This window comes from Homo sapiens, chromosome 9 (assembly GCF_000001405.40).
Source record: "Homo sapiens chromosome 9, GRCh38.p14 Primary Assembly".
NCBI classification, from domain to species: domain Eukaryota; kingdom Metazoa; phylum Chordata; class Mammalia; order Primates; family Hominidae; genus Homo; species Homo sapiens.
The window spans coordinates 92,199,147-92,218,828 of record NC_000009.12 but is presented as its reverse complement, the minus strand read 5'-3'; the positions used below and the strand labels follow the sequence as shown (position 1 = coordinate 92,218,828).

Below are 19,682 nucleotides of genomic sequence, written 5' to 3'. Positions count from 1 at the left end.
ACGATATTGATTCTTCCTACCCATGAGCATGGAATGTTCTTCCATTTGTTTGTATCCTCTTTTATTTCCTTGAGCAGTGGTTTGTAGTTCTCCTTGAAGAGGTCCTTCACATCCCTTGTAAGTTGGATTCCTAGGTATTTTATTCTCTTTGAAGCAATTGTGAATGGGAGTTCACTCATGATTTGGCTGTTTGTCTGTTATTGGTGTATAAGAATGCTTGTGATTTTTGTACATTGATTTTGTATCCTGAGACTTTGCTGAAGTTGCTTATCAGCTTAAGGAGATTTTGGGCTGAGACAATGGGGTTTTCTAGATATACAATCATGTCATCTGCAAACAGGGACAATTTGACTTCCTCTTTTCCTAATTGAATACCCTTTATTTCCTTCTCCTGCCTAATTGCCCTGGCCAGAACTTCCAACACTATGTTGAATAGGAGTGGTGAGAGAGGGCATCCCTGTCTTGTGCCAGTTTTCCAAGGGAATGCTTCCAGTTTTTGCCCATTCAGTATGATATTGGCTGTGGGTTTGTCATAGATAGCTCTTATTATTTTGAAATATGTCCCATCAATACCTAATTTATTGAGAGTTTTTAGCATGAAGGGTTGTTGAATTTTGTCAAAGGCTTTTTCTGCATCTATTGAGATAATCATGTGGTTTTTGTCTTTGGCTCTGTTTATATGCTGGATTACATTTACTGATTTGCGTATATTGAACCAGCCTTGCATCCCAGGGATGAAGCCCACTTGATCATGGTGGATAAGCTTTTTAATGTGCTGCTGGATTCGTTTTGCCAGTATTTTATTGAGGATTTTTGCATCAATGTTCATCAAGGATATTGGTCTAAAATTCTCTTTTTTGGTTGTGTCTCTGCCTGGCTTTGGTATCAGAATGATGCTGGCCTCATAAAAGGAGTTAGGGAGGATTCCCTCTTTTTCTGTTGATTGGAATAGTTTCAGAAGGAATGGTACCAGTTCCTCCTTGTACCTCTGGTAGAATTCGGCTGTGAATCCATCTGGTCCTGGACTCTTTTTGGTTGGTAAGCTATTGATTATTGCCACAATTTCAGAGTCTGTTATTGGTCTATTCAGAGATTCAACTTCTTCCTGGTTTAGTCTTGGGAGAATGTATGTGTCGAGGAATTTATCCATTTCTTCTAGATTTTCTAGTTTATTTGCGTAGAGGTGTTTGTAGTATTCTCTGATGGTAGTTTGTATTTCTGTGGGATCGGTGGTGATATCCCCTTTATCATTTTGTATTGCGTCTATTTGATTCTGCTCTCTTTTTTTCTTTATTAGTCTTGCTAGTGGTCTGTCAATTTTGTTGATCCTTTCAAAAAACCAGCTCCTGGATTCATTAATTTTTTGAAGGGTTTTTTGTGTCTCTATTTCCTTCAGTTCTGCTCTGATTTTAGTTATTTCTTGCCTTCTGCTAGCTTTTGAATGTGTTTGCTCTTGCTTTTCTAGTTCTTTTAATTGTGATGTTAGGGTGTCAATTTTGGATCTTTCCTGCTTTCTCTTGTGGGCATTTAGTGCTATAAATTTCCCTCTACACACTGCTTTGAATGCGTCTCAGAGATTCTGGTATGTTGTGTCTTTGTTCTCATTGGTTTCAAAGAACATCTTTATTTCTGCCTTCATTTTGTTATGTACCCATTAGTCATTCAGGAGCAGGTTGTTCAGTTTCCATGTAGTTGAGCGGTTTTGAGTGAGATTCTTAATCCTGAGTTCTAGTTTGATTGCACTGTGGTCTGAGAGACAGTTTGTTATAATTTCTGTTCTTTTACATTTGCTGAGGAGAGCTTTACTTCCAAGTATGTGGTCAATTTTGGAATAGGTGTGGTGTGGTGCTGAAAAAAATGTATATTCTGTTAATTTGGGGTGGAGAGTTCTGTAGATGTCTACTAGGTCCGCTTGGTGCAGAGCTGAGTTCAATTCCTGGGTATCCTTGTTGACTTTCTGTCTCGTTGATCTGTCTAATGTTGACAGTGGGGTGTTAAAGTCTCCCATTATTAATGTGTGGGAGTCTAAGTCTCTTTGTAGGTCACTCAGGACTTGCTTTATGAATCTGGGTGCTCCTGTATTGGGTGCATATATATTTAGGATAGTTAGCTCTTCTTGTTGAATTGATCCCTTTACCATTATGTAATGGCCTTCTTTGTCTCTTTTGATCTTTGTTGGTTTAAAGTCTGTTTTATCCGAGACTAGGATTGCAACCCCTGCCTTTTTTTGTTTTCCATTTGCTTGGTAGATCTTCCTCCATCCTTTTATTTTGAGCCTATGTGTGTCTCTGCACATGAGATGGGTTTCCTGAATACAGCACACTGATGGGTCTTGACTCTTTATCCAATTTGCCAGTCTGTGTCTTTTAATTGGAGCATTTAGTCCATTTACATTTAAAGTTAATATTGTTATGTGTGAATTTGATCCTGTCATTATGATGTTAGCTGTTTATTTTGCTCGTTAGTTGATGTAGTTTCTTCCTAGTCTCGATGGTCTTTACATTTTGGCATGATTTTGCAGCAGCTGGTACCGGTTGTTCCTTTCCATGTTTAGCGCTTCCTTCAGGAGCTCTTTTAGGGCAGGCCTGGTGGTGACAAAATCTCTCAGCATTTGCTTGTCTGTAAAGTATTTTATTTCTCCTTCTCTTATGAAGCTTAGTTTGGCTGGATATGAAATTCTGGGTTGAAAATTCTTTTCTTTAAGAATGTTGAATATTGGCCCCCACTCTCTTCTGGCTTGTAGGGTTTCTGCCGAGAGATCTGCTGTTAGTCTGATGGGCTTCCCTTTGTGGGTAACCCGACCTTTCTCTCTGGCTGCCCTTAACATTTTTTCCTTCATTTCAACTTTGGTGAATCTGACAATTATGTGTCTTGGAGTTGCTCTTCTCGAGGAGTATCTTTGTGGCGTTCTCTGTATTTCCTGAATCTGAACGTTGGCCTGCCTCGCTAGATAGGGGAAGTTCTCCTGGATAATATCCTGCAGAGTGTTTTCCAACTTGGTTCCATTCTCCCCATCACTTTCAGGTACACCAGTCAGACGTAGATTTGGTCTTTTCACATAGTCCCATATTTCTTGGAGGCTTTACTCATTTCGTTTTATTCTTTTTTCTCTAAACTTCCCTTCTCGCTTCATTTCATTCATTTCATCTTCCATCGCTGATATTCTTTCTTCCAGTTGATCGCATCGGCTCCTGAGGCTTCTGCATTCTTCACGTAGTTCTCGAGCCTTGGTTTTCAGCTCCATCAGCTCCTTTAAGCACTTCTCTGTATTGGTTATTCTAGTTATACATTCTTCTAAATTTTTTTCAAAGTTTTCAACTTCTTTGCCTTTGGTTTGTATGTCCTCCCATAGCTCAGAGTAATTTGATCGTCTGAAGCCCTCTTCTCTCAGCTCGTCAAAGTCATTCTCCATCCAGCTTTGTTCCGTTGCTGGTGAGGAACTGTGTTCCTTTGGAGGAGGAGAGGCACTCTGCTTTTTAGAGTTTCCAGTTTTTCTGTTCTGTTTTTTCCCCATCTTTGTGGTTTTATCTACTTTTGGTCTTTGATGATGGTGACGTACAGATGGGTTTTTGGTGTGGATGTCCTTTCTGTTTGTTAGTTTTCCTTCTGACAGACAGGACCCTCAACTGCAAGTCTGTTGGAATACCCTGCCGTGTGAGGTATCAGTGTGCCCCTGCTGGGGGGTGCCTCCCAGATAGGCTGCTCGGGGGTCAGGGGTCAGGGACCCACTTGAGGAGGCAGTCTGCCCGTTCTCAGATCTCCAGCTGCATGCTGGGAGAACCACTGCTCTCTTCAAAGCTGTCAGACAGGGACATTTAAGTCTGCAGAGGTTACTGCTGTCTTTTTGTTTGTCTGTGCCCTGCCCCCAGAGGTGGAGCCTACAGAGGCATGCAGGCCTCCTTGAGCTGTGGTGGGCTCCACCCAATTCGAGCTTCCCGGCTGCTTTGTTTACCTAAGCAAGCCTGGGCAATGGCGGGCGCCCCTCCCCCAGCCTTGCTGCCGCCTTGCAGTTTGATCTCAGACTGCTATGCTAGCAATCAGCGAGACTCCGTGGGCGTAGGACCCTCCGAGCTAGGTGCGGGGTATAATCTCGTGGTGCGCCGTTTTTTAAGCCCATCGGAAAAGCGCAGTATTCGGGTGGGAGTGACCCAATTTTCCAGGTGCCGTCCGTCACCCCTTTCTTTGACTCGGAAAGGGAACTCCCTGACCCCTTGCACTTCCCAAGTGAGGCAATGCCTCGCCCTGCTTCGGCTCGCGCACGGTGCGTGCACCCACTGACCTGCGCCCACTGTCTGGCACTCCCTAGTGAGATGAACCCGGTACCTCAGATGGAAATTCAGAAATCACTGTCTTCTGCATCGCTCACCCTGGGAGTTGTAGACCGGAGCTGTTCCTATTTGGCCATCTTGGCTCCTCCCCCAATTTTTGTAATTTTAGTAGAGACAGGGTTTCACCATGTTGGCCAGGCTGGTCTCAAACTCCTGACCTCAGGTGATCCACCCACTTGGGCCTCCCAAAGTGCTGGGATTACGGGGGTGAGCCACCACACCCAGACCATTCTATTCTTTGAGTTTCCGTCTTTCTGTTTACATTGCCCGTCTGCTCTGCTTGTTCTGTTATGTTTCTGTTGAAGCCCAGTTTTAAGAAGCATACGTCTAGTTCCTTGGAGACACTGACAACCCAGACACACTTTAAACTCAATCATTTTGGACCATAGGGAGAATGTTAAGAAAGCTGTGACTGGGTCTGCGTGGTGGCTCACTCGTGTAATCCCAGCACTTTGGGAGGCTGAGGTGGGCAGAGTTCAAGACCAGCATGGCCAATATGGTGAAACCCCATCTCTACTAAAATTAGCTGGACATGGTGGCACATGCCTGTAATCCCAGCTACTTGGGAGGCTGAGGCAGGAGAATCTCTTGAACCTGGGAGGCAGAGGTTGCAGTGTGCTGAGATTGCATCACTGCACTCCAGCCTGGGCGACAAGAGTTAAACTCCATCTCAGAAAAAAAATCTATGGCATTCCCAGTCATACACAAAGGCCAGGAGTTGTGATGGAGACAGGATCTGTCTATCCCTACTCCAAAACAAAGCTAAGTGAGGTGATTTTCTCTGTATTGGTTTCTGTGGCTGCTGCAACAAATTTCCACAAATGGGATGGCTCAAGTCATCTCACAGCTCTGGAGGCCAGACACTGAAATTAGGGTGTCAGAAAGGCCACAGTCTCTCTGAAGGCTCTGTGGGAGAATTCCTTATATACTTCTTCTAGCTTATGGTGGCGCCAGGCATCCCTTGACTTGTGGCCACATCACTTCAGTCTCTGACTCCGTGGTCACATTGCCTCCTTCTCTTCTGTTTCCTCTTTTTCCAAATAAAGTGAACATTCACAGCTCCTGGGAATTTAGAACCTGGGCATATCTTTGGAAGGCCATTATTAACCGATTACATTCTCTTCACTTTTTCTCTTGTGGTGAAGGAACTTACTCAAATTAACCCTTTTGCTATGGGTTTCTTATTTGAAGTTCCAGTTTCTTCAGCAGAGATTTGTTGGACTTCCCGGTTTGTATATACCGGAGGCTTTTCTTTCCCTGCTTTCCTAGCTCTTTAGTGCCAAAAGCATTAAGCCACCAGACCCCATGGGAGTCATTATTTTTGGCCTCTGTGTAATTCTCCCGTTTTCTTCCTGTGCAGCTTTTTTTTTTAAATTTAGTTGCATATCGTACTTTTAAATTTTCTGTCATGATGTTAAATACTAAAGCTCTATTTCTTCTTGGGTTCCTCCTTCCCTCCCTGGGTTTATTTTCAGTGACTCTCCTTTGTCGTTTTCCCTCTCATCTCATCATTGGGCCTCATCATCCATCTAAGTCACCAGTCTGCAGTCTGTACTCTTCACCAGAGCTATCTTCATGAACATTCCTGCCTTGATTTTGTTCCCTTGCTTAGAGCCCCCAAAGCTCCTTATTCTCTTATGCCTCAGAATCTTCCCTTCCACACAAGATCCTTCCTGCTCTGGGCCTTCCCTGTCTTGCTAATTCTGTCCATGAGTCTTTCACTCTATCAAAGGCTTTTTTCACTCTCCCTCGAACACACTTGGCTCTTTCATTGTGGTATGGTAGTAAAGATCATCTAATAATGTAGCTTTCTATTTTGATAAGCTTATATAAAACTTTAGAGATAATTCTTAACTCTTCTTGTCCCTCAAATCCTTTGGTCACCAAGTACTGTTGTGCAGTGGAGCTGAAGATGACATTTATCTCTCACTTGTTCTTGCAAGCAAATGCAGTGGCATGATTGAACCTGGTCAGGGGTAGAACCATGTCTGTATGAATTATGTATTTATAATACTACCTGCAATTCACAGAACCATTCTTAACCTGTGCTGCCTTTCTGTATTCTCTTTACTCTGTGACGTTAGTTAGGCAAAAGTTTAGTGGGTGAGAACTTTTAAATGTTTAGTGATTTATCTAAGATTACCACAAAGTTGGAACTTTTTCTAATTCAGTATCTTTCCAATCTAGTATCTATAGCTTCGTTTTCATTATGCCTTTTCTCTCAGAATTGTCTTTCATAAAGTATCAATAACTTGGTAAATTAGAAGAGCCACAAAATGTTGACCATTTTAGAAACCCTTAGATGTCTTCTTGCTTGCTCCACTAAACTCTAAACATCATCTCCAGGTCCTGTAATTATCTATTAAGGAAGTAGCTTTGAGAGTATTCTCACATCTAGGATTGCTGCTAGGTAGGACAAGAGCTATTTTTAAAGGAAGCTCATCTGTTTGCTTTAAATTCAGATCTGACTAGAAGCAAAATGCTCCACAGTAGGCAGATAACTTTAAATTTTCTTTTTTTTTGTTTTTGAGTTGTATATTCAGTATATTTCAATCAATTGCATTTGGGTTATATTTTTGGATGCTCAGAGTTTTCGTCATTGGCCATATTGGATCCTGTATTCTTTAACATGATCCTTTGTCTTTGGTAAATTCTTGCTTTCTCACGTAGCAACATGTCCTAGGCTTATTATGTACTTTTACTTCTCCAGACGTAGAAAATAGCTGTTCTTCAAATTATAGAGAATCATATTTTGAAACCACATATCTGGGATACTGAGTTGGCACAGCCTCTAGGCTTTTTTTGTAGACATAGGAAGTATCTGTGTATGAGGAAAAATAACCATCTTGGCAGTACCCAGAGTTAGCCAAACTGTGAAGTGATGGCATAGTCCTCCAGAAGGCTCCAGGAGTCTGCCCGATATCTAACTCCACCTGCAAGGAGTGAGGATTCTACTCAGGGAAAGATCCACACAAGACCCCCATCACTGCTGGCACCAACTGCAAGTTCCAGGGATTTTCCTAAACCACCCTCAGGTTCAGTAACCTGCTAGGAGGACTCAGACTCACTAAAAGGTATTACACTCATGGTTTGAATTAGGGTAGGGAAAGGATACACGTTAGAACCAGCGAGAGTGAGAGAGAGAGAGAGACCCTGGAGTCATGGATAATGTTTCTTCCTCTCATCCCTTACATCTGACAACACAGAGACTATATTACCAACCAGGGAAGCTCACTCGAGCCTTGGTGTCCAGTTTCTGTTGAGGTTTCATTCTGTAGGCATGATTGCTGTCTTTCTCAACTGATATACCATGTGACCCAAAGTCCCCATCCTAAATCATATACTTGGTCTTTCTGTCCTGGCCAGCACTACCCTGAATTGTCTCATTAGCAACAACTGTCAGGTTTGGTGAACATACCCACCATGAGAAACAAAGATTCCTACCAGGAAATTCCAAGGATTTAGAGGTTCACCTCAGGAGCTGGGACAAAAGGCAGAACTCTTAGGATAAGGCCAAATTCCTTACTACACAAGCAGTTAACATTTTTTTAAATATTCACCCCCAATAGGTAAAATACTGATTTTTTTTCAACTTTTTCTTTCCATTCTAGAAATTACAGAAGACATCCCCGTGAAGACTTTGAATATGAAGACTGTGTATGTTTCTGTGTTACCAACAACAGCAGACTTCTAGCATGTACTTATCAATGTTGTTCGGTCAGCCCTTCCCTAATTACACCTATCCCCTACACATACATGCACATAGACACACACATGAACACACTGAAGATATTTCCTTCAGGTGTGTGTAAAATATGCTGCTTGGATTGAAATTCAAATGGGATTGATTAGTCAAGTAACTTGAGACCTCACAGTAATCTTCACACTTAACCTTAGACACCTATGCAGTCATGTTGGGAGCAGGTTACAATGTTACTTCAGCCCACAGTTTATTTCTATACTTGAGTTCTTAAGTACAGAAGATAGAAGTGATTTAAATGGCATAGTATATATATCATTTTCTGGCCTTTTAAAATTTATTTGAGACCTCTTGATGAAATGGACATATTATATATTTCTGCCACCTGGATTTTCCTGGATAATTTGATGGAATATTTTAAGTTTCAGTAAATCAGAACAATAAACAAACTCAGATATAAATGTGTTGAAAGTAATTCATTCTCCCATAGATAAATGAAACTTGAAATGTGTAAACTTTGAAGAACATAAAAACTTCATGGTGGTTTCTTATTAAGACAGTGGACTAGACATCTAATAAAACTTCTTTCCAAAATCCCAGGTGATAATTTGAGTCCTCAGAGAAGCAGATGACATGACAAAGTTAGATGTGCAAGAATTTATTAGAGGAAACATAAATGGAGGATAAACGGGAGATGGAGCAAGCGTAGGTCGAGAGAGCCTTCAGACTGCAGTGTGGGTCTGACACCTGTAAAAAGAGAAAATGAAGATTGATTAGCAAAAACTTAGACTGCAGTGCAACTCTAAGATGAAGTCTTGGTCAGGCCAATGGAGAGTTCCCAAGCAAGGATTCCTTTTAGTAGAGTTCAGAATTGGGCAGAAATAGCCTGGCTTTGTTTCTCTGACTTCCTCAAGTCAGTTTCTGGGAGGAGACCAAGGGGAGCGTGGCCTTCGCACAAATGCCTTGATGGATCTGAAAGTACCAACTACACTCCTCATGTCAGATTCTTTTGAAGGGAGATCTGAATGATACATCCCTATGGCTACTACAACAGATGCATTCACACAAAAACCCACAAGTTGGAGAAAATAGAGGAAACAACCAGAACTTGGGGAATTGGAAAGCAGATAGACGGTGTTAACTAACTTGGTAGACCCAGGAAACCCCAATTCTAAATCAATGGAGGAACTGATAAACTTACTTACATTTCAGAATTCACAGCACCAGTTAACCTCTGGGATGAAAGGTAGAAGAGGCACAGAAATAGGGACGATTGCGTGAACACTGGGAAGCCTTATAGCTTCTCCCATTTCCACGTTGCTAAGCAACTTTATTCCCCCCACAGTTGGCATCTGGAAGGTAAAAAGTGACTGGTTGGTAGAAGTCGGAGTGAATGGAAGACAAGAGTACTTGTAAGCCTGGAGGATTCCTAAAACCAACCCTCAGCTTAGATAATTTGCTAGAAAGACTCAGAACTCAATGAAAGCTATTGTATTCGTGGTTACAGTTAATGACAGGGAAATGTTAAAGATCAAAATCAGCCAAAGGAAGAGGAGAGGGCAGAGCCCGGGAGAAGTACCAAACACAGCTCTTGTCCTGTCTCTCTGAAGTCAGCAAGCATTACTCTACTGGCATCAGTGTGTGACAGTATGCACAGAGTATTGCCAGCCAGGGAAGCTCACCCAAGCCTTGGAACCCAGAGTGTTTACTGAGGCTGCTTTACATATCCATGATTGATTGTCCATGTGGTTAATCGCAGTCTCTAGGTCAGCTGCTCGTGCATGACCCAAAACCTCCACCCTAAATCACATTGTTGGTATTTCTGATGTGTTGTACACCCCCCCCACCATAAGACTGTATAGATTTGTCCCACCCCAGCCATAAATCATACTGTCAAGGCTATTCAGTATGATTCAAGATCCCCAGGTAAACAGAGGCATTCCTATGTAGCATAACATCCAAGGGCAAGGCCAAATTCCTTTATACAGAGTACTGTACTGGAAACAAGATTAAGTGGCTTTATGTATACTGTCCACTATACCAAAGAAGAATATAAAAGATTGACACCAAGTATTGGCTGGGAAAAAGGCTCACTCTGAACAATTAACTTTGAAGTTGAGAAGTCCATACTCAGGTCAGTGTTTTAGCCCCCAACTCTTATTCATGAGACTTCCATCTAGAATTACGAGAGATCTAGTGAAAGCCTCTAATCCAAAACCAAAAGAGAGTACCAAAACAACTTTGAGGAATCAAGCAATGCAGTGAGAAGAAAATTCCCCCTGCCAAATGTGTTAATATCCTTAGAGTTATAAGATACTACATCTGTAAAATAACGATGCTACAAAACATGAAAATCTCAAGAGGAGAAAAAAATGTTCCTGTTAATATAAGACTTAATAGAAAAGAAAAAAAATCATTGGAAAATAGTGTGAAATTTTCCAGACACTAGATAGATTAACAATAAATATTTAAGGTGGGAGAAAAGAGATATTATACATAAGTTAGAGTCCAGGAGTTCCAGTATCCAAATTGTAGGAATTCCAGAAAGAAGAAAAATAAGGTCAGAAAATTATAATTAATGTAAACAAATTTTGCAGAACCTACAGCCAGATTGAAAGATATCTTTGGCCGAACACGGTGGCTCATGCCTGTAATCCCAGCACTTTGGGAGGCCGAGGTGGACGGATCACGAGGACAGGAGATCAAGACCATCCTGGCTAACATGGTGAAACCTTGTCTCTACTAAAAATACAAAACATTTAGCCGGGCGTGGTGGCAGGCGCCCGTAGTCCCAGCTACTCGGGAGGCTGGGGCAGGAGACTGGCGTGAACCTGGGAGGCGGAGCTTGCAGTGAGCTGAGGTCGTGCCACTGCACTCCAGCCTGGGTGACAGAGCGTGACTCCGCCTCAAAAAAAAAAAAGATATCTTCAAATGTCTAGCACAATGCATGAAAATAGACTCACTTCCAAGGCACATAACAGAAATTTCAGAACATAAAGAAAAGACTAAGTTTCTAGAAAGAAAAAAGCAAAAGGGATATACAAAAGATTAGCAGTTAGTAAGGATTTTTCTTTTCAACCTCTGGGAGCACAGAACAATTTAGTAAGGATTTGATTTCTCAGCAACACAGTAAGAAGAGAATCTCCCCAATTCTTTGGGGAAAGTTTTCTAACTATATTGTACCCAACCAAATTATCAAACAAGTATGAAGGTAGAATAAAGACATTTTCAGACATGAGTTAGGTCTCAAAAAAAAATTATCTCCCATGTACTCTTTCTCAGGGAGTTATTGGTAGTGTACTCTACCAAGCTGCAGCAACCCCACTGAGGTCGTGGTTCCTAAAACCATTCTCCCATGAAGGGAACTAGGTTTCCCTGGGAAAAAAATGGCTGCTTCTAGAGCTGGAGCTGGGAATGTACGATATGAATCTGAAACATCTTGTAGTAACAGAAAGTAAAGTGATCAAAAAACAGTGGTGAGTGACATCAGCAAGATGGCAAAATATTAATAGTAAGCCCTGCTGGGCGTGGTGGCTCACACCTGTAATCCCAGCACTTTGAGAGGCTGAGGTGGTGGATCATGAGGTCAGAAGTTTGAGACTAGCCTGGCCAACATGGTGAAACCCCATCTCTACTAAAAATACAAAAATTAGCCGGGCGTGGTGGCACATGCCTGTAATCCCAGCTACTCAGGAGGCTGAGGCAGGAGAATTGCTTGAACCCGGCAGGCAGAGGTTGCAGTGAGTCAAGGTCGCACCACTGCACTCCAGCCTGGGCGACAGAGCAAGATTCCATCTCAAAAAATAAAAAAATAAATAAGCCCCAGGCCCTCATTCTCCCATAGAGACACTGACTTAACAATATACGGACCAAACTGCCTTTGTGAGAATTTTTCAGAAATCAGTTTAAAAGTTGCAGTACCCCAGGTGAACGTAGAAGCAAGAAGAGCTGATTTGAAGCAGGTGAGAAAGTCCATTACATTTGCATACCATAGGTTCTCCCAGTACCAAGCACAGTGCAGCACAATCTGGAGATACCTCCCACTTGCACCTTCCTTCTCAAGAGGGAAAGAGTAGAGTGGAATGTATGTCCCATGTTCTGGCTTATAGTGGGGCTGACCAAAGGACTGATTTCTGTTCATGTGACTCAGAGCACTGACAGGAACAGTGTCATACTTTGGATGACTAGGGGCTGCTGAGAACAAATGTGAGACCTATAGCCTTGTTACAGCACTGCAGGAACTAGTATCATAAACAGATACCAAGGGGAGCAAGAAATTATGAGTTCCTTAAAAAGACACAGGGGCAAACCTCTTCAGGAAATTGCACAGACAAACCCAGAGAAGATACATCGCTAGAAAAGATTCAAGAGGTCCCCAAGATCTCCAGCTAAACTAATTTGTAATGCTGTTCCTTTTTACAAAGCCAGTCTATAAAGGCTAAGAGAGATGGCTGTTTTTTCAGATGCCCAAATCTCAACAAAAGATTAGCAGGTGGCCGGACACAATGGCTCATGCCTGTAATCCCAGCACTTTGGGAGACCAAGGCAGGAGGATCACTTGAATCCAGGAGTTCAAGACCAGCCTGGGCAACACAGAGAGACCTCATCTTTACAAATAATTTAAAAAATTAGCCAGCTGTGGTGGTGCATGCCTGTTATCCCAGCTACTGGGGAGGCTGAAGCAGGAGAATTGCCTGCGCCCAGGAGTTTGAGGCTGCAGTGAGCCGTGATCAAGCCACTGTACCCCAGCCCAGACCCTGTCTTTAAAAAAAAAAAACGGCTGGGTGTGGTGGTTCATGCCTATAATCCCAACACTTTGGGAGGCCGAGGCGGGCAGATCACCTGAGGTCAGGAGTTCGAGACCAGCCTGGCCAACATGGTGAAACCCCATCTGTACTAAAAATACAAAAATTAGCTGGACGTGGTGGAGGGCGCCATAATCCCAGCTACTCGGGAGACTGAGGCAAGAGAATCTCTTGAACCCAGGAGGCGAAGGGTGCAGTGAGCCAAGATCGCACCATTGCACTCCAGCTTTGGGGACAAGAGCAAAACTCTGTCTCAAAAAAAAAAAAAAATCACAAGGCATACCATGAAACAGGGAAACATGGCCCTATCAAAGGAACAAATAAATCTCTAGAAACTAACCCTAAAGAAATGGAGATCACCAGGCAAAGTGGCTCAACACCTCTAATCCCAGCACTTTGGGAGACTGAGGAGGGAGGATCACTTGAGCCCAGGAGTTCAAGACCAGCCTGGGCAACATAGAGAGACCCTGTCTCTAGAAAAAATAATAAAATAAATAATAAATAATAAAATACAATTAGCTAGATGTGGTAGCATGTGCCTGTAGTCCCCGCTACTTACTTGGGAGACCGAGGCAGGTGGATAACCTGAGCCTGGCAGGTCGAGCTGCAATGAGCCATGATTATGCCGCTGCACTCCAGCCTGGGTGACACATTAAGACCATGTGTCAAAAAAAAGAAAAAAGAAAAAAACAGAAACGATGGAGATCTATTAGTTGTCTGACAGAATTCAAAGTAATCATCTTAAAGATGTTCAGTGAGCTACAAAGAACACACAAAATCAGGTAAACAATATCTGCACAAACAAAATGAGATCAATAAACTATAATAATGTAAGATGTTAGTGATCAGGTAAACTGCGTGTGAGTATATCAGCTGTATTTGCATCTTTTTTATAAATCTGAAGATATAGAAGTTCATTTTTAATAAGTGTCAGAAACTGAAATTAAAAACCTATTGTAGGCTGGGCACAGTGGCTCACGTCTATAATTCCAGCACTTTGGGAGGCCGAGGCGGGCAGATCATGAGGTCAAGAGATCAAAACCATCCTGGCCAACATGGTGAAATCCTGTCTCTACTAAAAATACAAAAATTAGCCAGGCATGGTGGCGCACGCCTGTAGTCCCAGCTACTCGGGAGGCTAAGGCAGGAATTGCTTGAACCCGGGAGGTGGAGGTTGCACTGAGCCAGGATCGCACCACTGCACTCCAGCCTGACAACAGAGCGAGACTCCATCTCAAAAACAAACAAACAAACAAACAAAAACCCTATTGCAATAGTATCCTAAAATATGGAATACTCAGAGATAAATTTGACCAAAGATGTATAGTGCTTGTATACTGAAAACTACAAAACATTCCTTAGAGATAATAAAGAAAACCTGTAGGCCGGGCACAGTGGCTCACACCTGTAATCCCAGCACTTTGGGAGGCCTAGGCAGGTGGATCACAAGATCAGGAGTTCAAGACCAGCCTGGCCAACATGGTGAAACCCCGTCTCCACTAAAAATACAAAAAAATTAGCCAGGCGTGGTGGCGAGTGCCTGTAATCCCAGCTACTCGGGAGGCTGAGGCAGAGAATTGCTTGATCCCAGGAGGCGGAGGTTGCAGTGAGCCGAGATTGCATCACTGCACTCCAGCCTGTGTGACAGGGCAAGATTCCGTCTCAAAAAAAAAAAAAAAAGAAAAGAAAAAAAACAAAGCCTATATAAATGGAAGAGAGAAATAATGTTTATATTAGTTAGCTAAGATTGCCATAACAAAATACCACAGACTGGGTGGCTTAAACAACAGAAATTTATTTCTTTACATTTCTAGAGGTTGGAAGTCCAAGATCAAGGTGTCAGCAGGTTTGGTTTCTCCTGAGGCCTCTCTCCTTGACATTATCTGCTGGCCATCTTCTCACTATGTCCACATATGGCCTTTTCTGTGATTGGTTCCTGAGCAAAGTAATGCTATAATGGACTCATGGTTAACTGTCTCTTAACACAGCTGCTGAAAGTGGATTCTGTGTTCCCTCAGCCAGAGACCTGTCAACTTAACCAGGACTCCATAGTGCCACTGGGAATTTTGGTTCATGAGAAGAGCTTATTTACTTCTAGCAGTGTCGCCATCAGCTAAAGATAAAACATGTTCCTGATGGCAAGGCTCACGCAAACATAATTTAATACTTTCCCACAACCCACTCCAATTGCCCATCAATTCTTTAGCCCCATAAAGCCCTTCCAGCTCTCCCTGAATGCTGCTCCAGGGTGGGTGCCCTCACAGGGGTCTTCTGGTCCCCTCTTAGATACTCATGTGCAGGTGGCCTGTCTGAGAGGGCCTGAGTTGTTCAGTCTGTGCTGAAAGCTCCACCTCAGGCCTCTGCTTATGGTCTTAGTTATTTGCTCTCACAAGCCTGTTCTTCTTGCTCATCAGACCTCCCGTGAAAAGCTCTGCTGAATGAGACAGCACATTGCTCTATTAAATGAGAATGTAAATGACAGCTACCTCATTAGAAGAAGTGGGGCTGGGTGGCATGGTTTATGCCTGTAATCCCAGCACTTTGAGAGGCCAAGGGGAGAGGATCACTTGAGCCCAGGAGTTCAAGACCAGCCTGGGCAACGTAGCAAGATCCCATCTCTACAGAAAATTTCAAAAATAAAAAAGACTGTCATGCAGCTCAAGGTCATGATCTGAAATGAAACAAACAAAAGTCTATCCGCAATTCTAAAGCCATCTTTTAGAATTTAACACTTTACTATTGTTACACATTGTATATAATCCTTATGTATAAATGTTGGTTGCACTTTTTGCTGTTTTACTTTAGGTTTTTCTCTTGCTGGTTGTATTAGTCTGTTCTCACATTGCTGTAAAGAACTACCTGAGGCTGGGTGCAGTGGCTCACGCCTGTAATCCTACCATTTTGGGAGGCCAAGGCAGGCGGATTGTCTGAGTTCAGGAGTTCGAGACCAGCCTGGGCAGCATGGTGAAACCCTGTCTCTACTAAAATACAAAAAATTAGCTGGATGTGGTGGTATGTGCCTGTAGTCCTAGCTACTCCGGAGGCTGAGGAATGAGAATCACTTGAACCTAGGAGGCGGAGGTTGCAGTGAGCCGAGATTGCGCCACTGCACTCCAGCCTGGGCAACAGAGAGAGACCCTGTCTCAAAAAAAACAAAACAAAACAAAAAACAAAAAAAACTACCTGAGACTGGACAGTTTATTTAAAAATGTTTAATTGACTCAGTTCCACAGGCTGTACAGGAGGCATGGCTGGGGAGGGCTCAGGAAATTTACAATCATGGCCGAAGGTGAAGGGGAAGCAAGCACATCTTCACATGGTGACGGGAGAGAGAAAGCGAAGAGGGAAGTGCTACACACTTTCAAACAACCAGATCTCGTGAGAACTCACTATCACGAGAACAGCAAGGGGGAAATCCACCCCCATGATCCGATGACCTCCCACCACATCCCTCTTCCAACATTAGGGGTTACAATTCAACAAGAGATTTGGATGGGGACACAGGGCCAAACCATATCACTGGTAAAAGGTCATCATATTAGGTCATTTCCTTCTATGTCAGTGGGAGATTTGCAATGCCTTTTCTTATTGGCAATATGTTGTGAGTATTTATCTTGACTTGGGCACTATTATCAACCTCTTACTTCATGGTATTTTGCTTCCCATTATCTCAACACTGTGAACTCCTCCCATATTCTGTATTGAAGGAAATTTATTTTTTTGTAGTCCAACTAACTTCCTTTATTTTTATTATGGTAAAATATACCTAAAATTTACCATTTTGATTTTCTTTAAGACAAGAGTCTTGCTTTGTCACCCAGGCTAGAGTACAGTGGCATGATCATAGCTCACTGTAACCTCAAAAATATCAAACTTCTGGACATAAGCAGTTTTCCCTGTCTCAGACCCCTGAGTATCTCGAACTATAGACATATGTCACCACAGCCAGCTAAATTTTTTTTTTTTTTTTGTAGAGACAGGGTCTTGCTATGTTGCCTAGGCTGGTCTCAAACTCCTGACCAAAAGTAATCCTCCTGCCTAAGCCTCCCAAAGTGCTGGAATTACAAGTGCGAACCACTGGGTCAGCCTTTTTGTTGTGTCTTTTTCTGGTTTTGTTATCAGGGTAATATTGGCCTCTTAGAATGAATCTGAAAGCATTCCCTCCTCTTTGATTTTTTGGAATAGTTTGAATAGGACTGGTATTAGATTGTCTTTAAATGTTTGGTAGAATTCAGCAGTGAAGTTATCAGATCCTGGGCTTTCCTTTGACAGGAGACTTTTTTTATTATAGGCTTCAATCTTGTTACTTGTTACGGGTCTATTTGAGTTGTGGATTTCTTCATGGTTCAATCTTTGTAGGTTGTATGTGTCTAAGAATTTATCCATTTTTTATATGCTTCTCAATTTATTGGCATAGAGCTTATGCCTCTAGTGATCGTTGAATTTCTGCGGTTTATTTGTAATGTCTCCTGTTTCTCTCTGATTTTATTTATTTGGTTCTTCTCTCCTTTTTTTCTTAATCTGGCTAAAAGTTTGTAGATTTTGTTTTTCTTTTCAAAACTCCAACTTTTTTATCTTGTATATTATTTGTCTCAATTTTATTTATTTCTGCTTGATCTTTATTATTTCTTTTCTTCTAATTTTGGGTTTGGTTTGCTCTTACTTTTCTAGTTCTTTGACAGGGTTTCACTCTGTCACCCAGCCTGGAGTGCAGTGGCACAATCTCCGCTCACTGCAACCTCCGCCTCCCAGGCTCCAGCAATCCTCCCACCTCAGCCTCCCAAGTAGCTGAGACTACAGGTGTGCACCACCATGCTTGGCTATTTTTTGTAGAGATGGAGTTTCACCATGTTGCCCAGGCTGGTCTCAAACTCCTCAGCTCAAGTAATCCACCCGCCTTGGCCTCCCAAAGTTTTGGAATGACAGGCATGAGCCACCACACCCGGCCATGCTTTTCTAGCTTTTTAAGATGCATTGTTAGGTTGTTTAATTGAAGTTTTTCTACTTTTTTGATGTAAGCATTTATTCTAGTAAACTTTTATCTTAGCACTGCTTTTGTTGTATACCATAGGTTTCATTCTGTTGTGTTTTCATTTCCATTTCTTTCAATAAATTTTTAAATTTTCTTCTTAATTTCTTCATTGACCCAGTGGTTGTTCAGAGGCATGTTGTCAAATTTTCATGTGTTTCTATACTTTCTTTTCTTTCTTTCTTTCTTTCTTTTTTTTTTTTTTTTTTTTTTTTGAGATGGAGTCTCCCTCTGGTGCCCAGGCTGGAGTGCAGTGGGTCAATCTTGGGTCACTGCAACCTCTGCCTCCCAGGTTCAAGCGATTTTCCTGCCTCAGCCTCCTGAGTAGCTGGGATTACAGGCACATGTCACCATGTCCAGCTAATTTTTGTATTTTTAGTAGAGACGAGGTTTCACCATGTTGGCCAGGATGGTCTCAAACTCCTGACCTCAAGTGATGCACCCACCTCACACTCCCAAAGTGCTGGGATTATAGGTGTGAGTGCCCAGCCAGTATCTCCAGTTTCCAAAGTTCTACTTGTTATTGATTTTTAGTTGTATTCCATTGTGATCAGAAAAATTACTTGCTATTATTTGAATTTTTAAAACTTTGTTAAGATTTGTGGCATAACATATGGTCTGTCTCTGAAAATATTTCATGTGCTGAGGAGAATAATGTGTATTCTGCAGCTGTTGAATTAACTGTTCTGTAAATGTCTATTAGGTCCATTTGGTCTATCATGCAGATTAAGTCTGATAAGGGTTTTTGTTGTTGTTGTTGATGATTGTCTGTCTAGATTTTCTATGCAATGCTGAAAGTGGAGTGTCAAAGTCCCCAGCTGTTATTGTATTGGGAACTCTCTCTCTCTCTCTCTTTAATCCTAATAGTATTTGCTTTATCTATCTGGGTGTTCCAGCACTGGGTACATTAATGTTTACAATTATTATAACCTCTTGTTGAATTGACCCCTTTATCATCATATAATGACCGTCTTTGTCTCTTTTCACAGGTTTTGACTTAAAAATCTATTTTATCTGAAATACATATAGCTATTCCTGCTCTTTTTGGGGGTGTTTCATTTGCATGGAATGTCTTTTTCCATCCCTGCATTTTCAGTCTATGTGTGTCTTTATAGGTGAAGAGAGTTTCTTGTAGGCAGCATATAGTTGCGTCTTTTAAAAATTTGTTCAGCCACTCTATGTCTTTTGATTTGTAGAACTTAGTACATTGACATTCAATGTTATTATTGATAGGTAAGAACTTACTGCTGCCATTCTGTTCATTTTTTCTGGTTGTTTTGTTGGTCCTCTCTTCCTTTCTTACTTCCTTTCTGTCTTCCTTTGTAAGTGATTTTCCCTGGTAATATGTTTTAATTTCTTGTTTTTTTATTTCTTGTGTATCTATGATAGGTCTTTGCTTTGTGGTTATTATAAGGGTTGCTAGTAACAGCTTATAACTAGTTATTTTAAACTGATGAAAACTTAACACTGAGTAGAAAAAAGGAAAAAAAGCAAACAAGCAAAGAGAAAACTCAAAAAAAAAAAACTCTACAATGTTACTCCATCTTCCCTTGCCTCAATGGCTGTTTTTTGCCTTTTTTTGGGGGGAGGGTTTCTCTAATTATATCTTTTTATATCATCTATCTCTTAAGAAATTGTCGTTATTATTATAATTATTTTGAGGTCAAGTCTTACTCTGTCGCCCAGGCTGGAGTTCAGTGGTATGATCTCAGCTCACCGCAACCTCCGTCTCCTGGGTTCCAGTGATTCTAATGCCTCAGCCTTGTGAGTAGTGGGGATTACAGGTGTGCAACACCGTGCGTGGCTAATTTTTGTATTTT

General features: G+C 41.9%; 1 protein-coding gene and 1 long non-coding RNA gene across 23 annotated transcripts in view, besides 1 other annotated feature; one reads left to right on the top strand and one right to left on the bottom strand.

The window, feature by feature from the left end:
- The window catches only part of IARS1 (isoleucyl-tRNA synthetase 1), an 83,491-nt gene extending 74,869 nt beyond the window's left edge, over window positions 1-8,622 (top strand). For all 22 annotated transcript variants that reach the window (NR_073446.2, NM_001378573.1, NM_001378583.1 and 19 more), the window contains one exon: window positions 7,940-8,622. Coding sequence is in view for 21 of the 22 variants with exons in the window: in NM_001378573.1 (NP_001365502.1) it covers window positions 7,940-8,022 (83 nt within the window). In the remaining variant the exon portion in view is untranslated. The remainder of the gene's footprint in view (window positions 1-7,939) is intronic.
- Window positions 3,558-4,454: an enhancer, noted in NCBI's record as "NANOG-H3K27ac-H3K4me1 hESC enhancer chr9:94976657-94977553 (GRCh37/hg19 assembly coordinates)". NCBI's record gives its function as "activates a minimal SCP1, AML or CMV promoter by ChIP-STARR-seq in primed H9 embryonic stem cells {active_cell/tissue: H9 hESC(primed)}" and the evidence as "EXISTENCE:reporter gene assay evidence [ECO:0000049][PMID:30033119]".
- On the bottom strand, window positions 8,671-9,380 carry LOC112268048 (uncharacterized). The gene is made up of 2 exons (XR_002956919.2): window positions 9,234-9,380; window positions 8,671-8,775 (listed from the first exon to the last, which is right to left on the bottom strand). It is a non-coding gene; the product is annotated as an uncharacterized LOC112268048 (long non-coding RNA).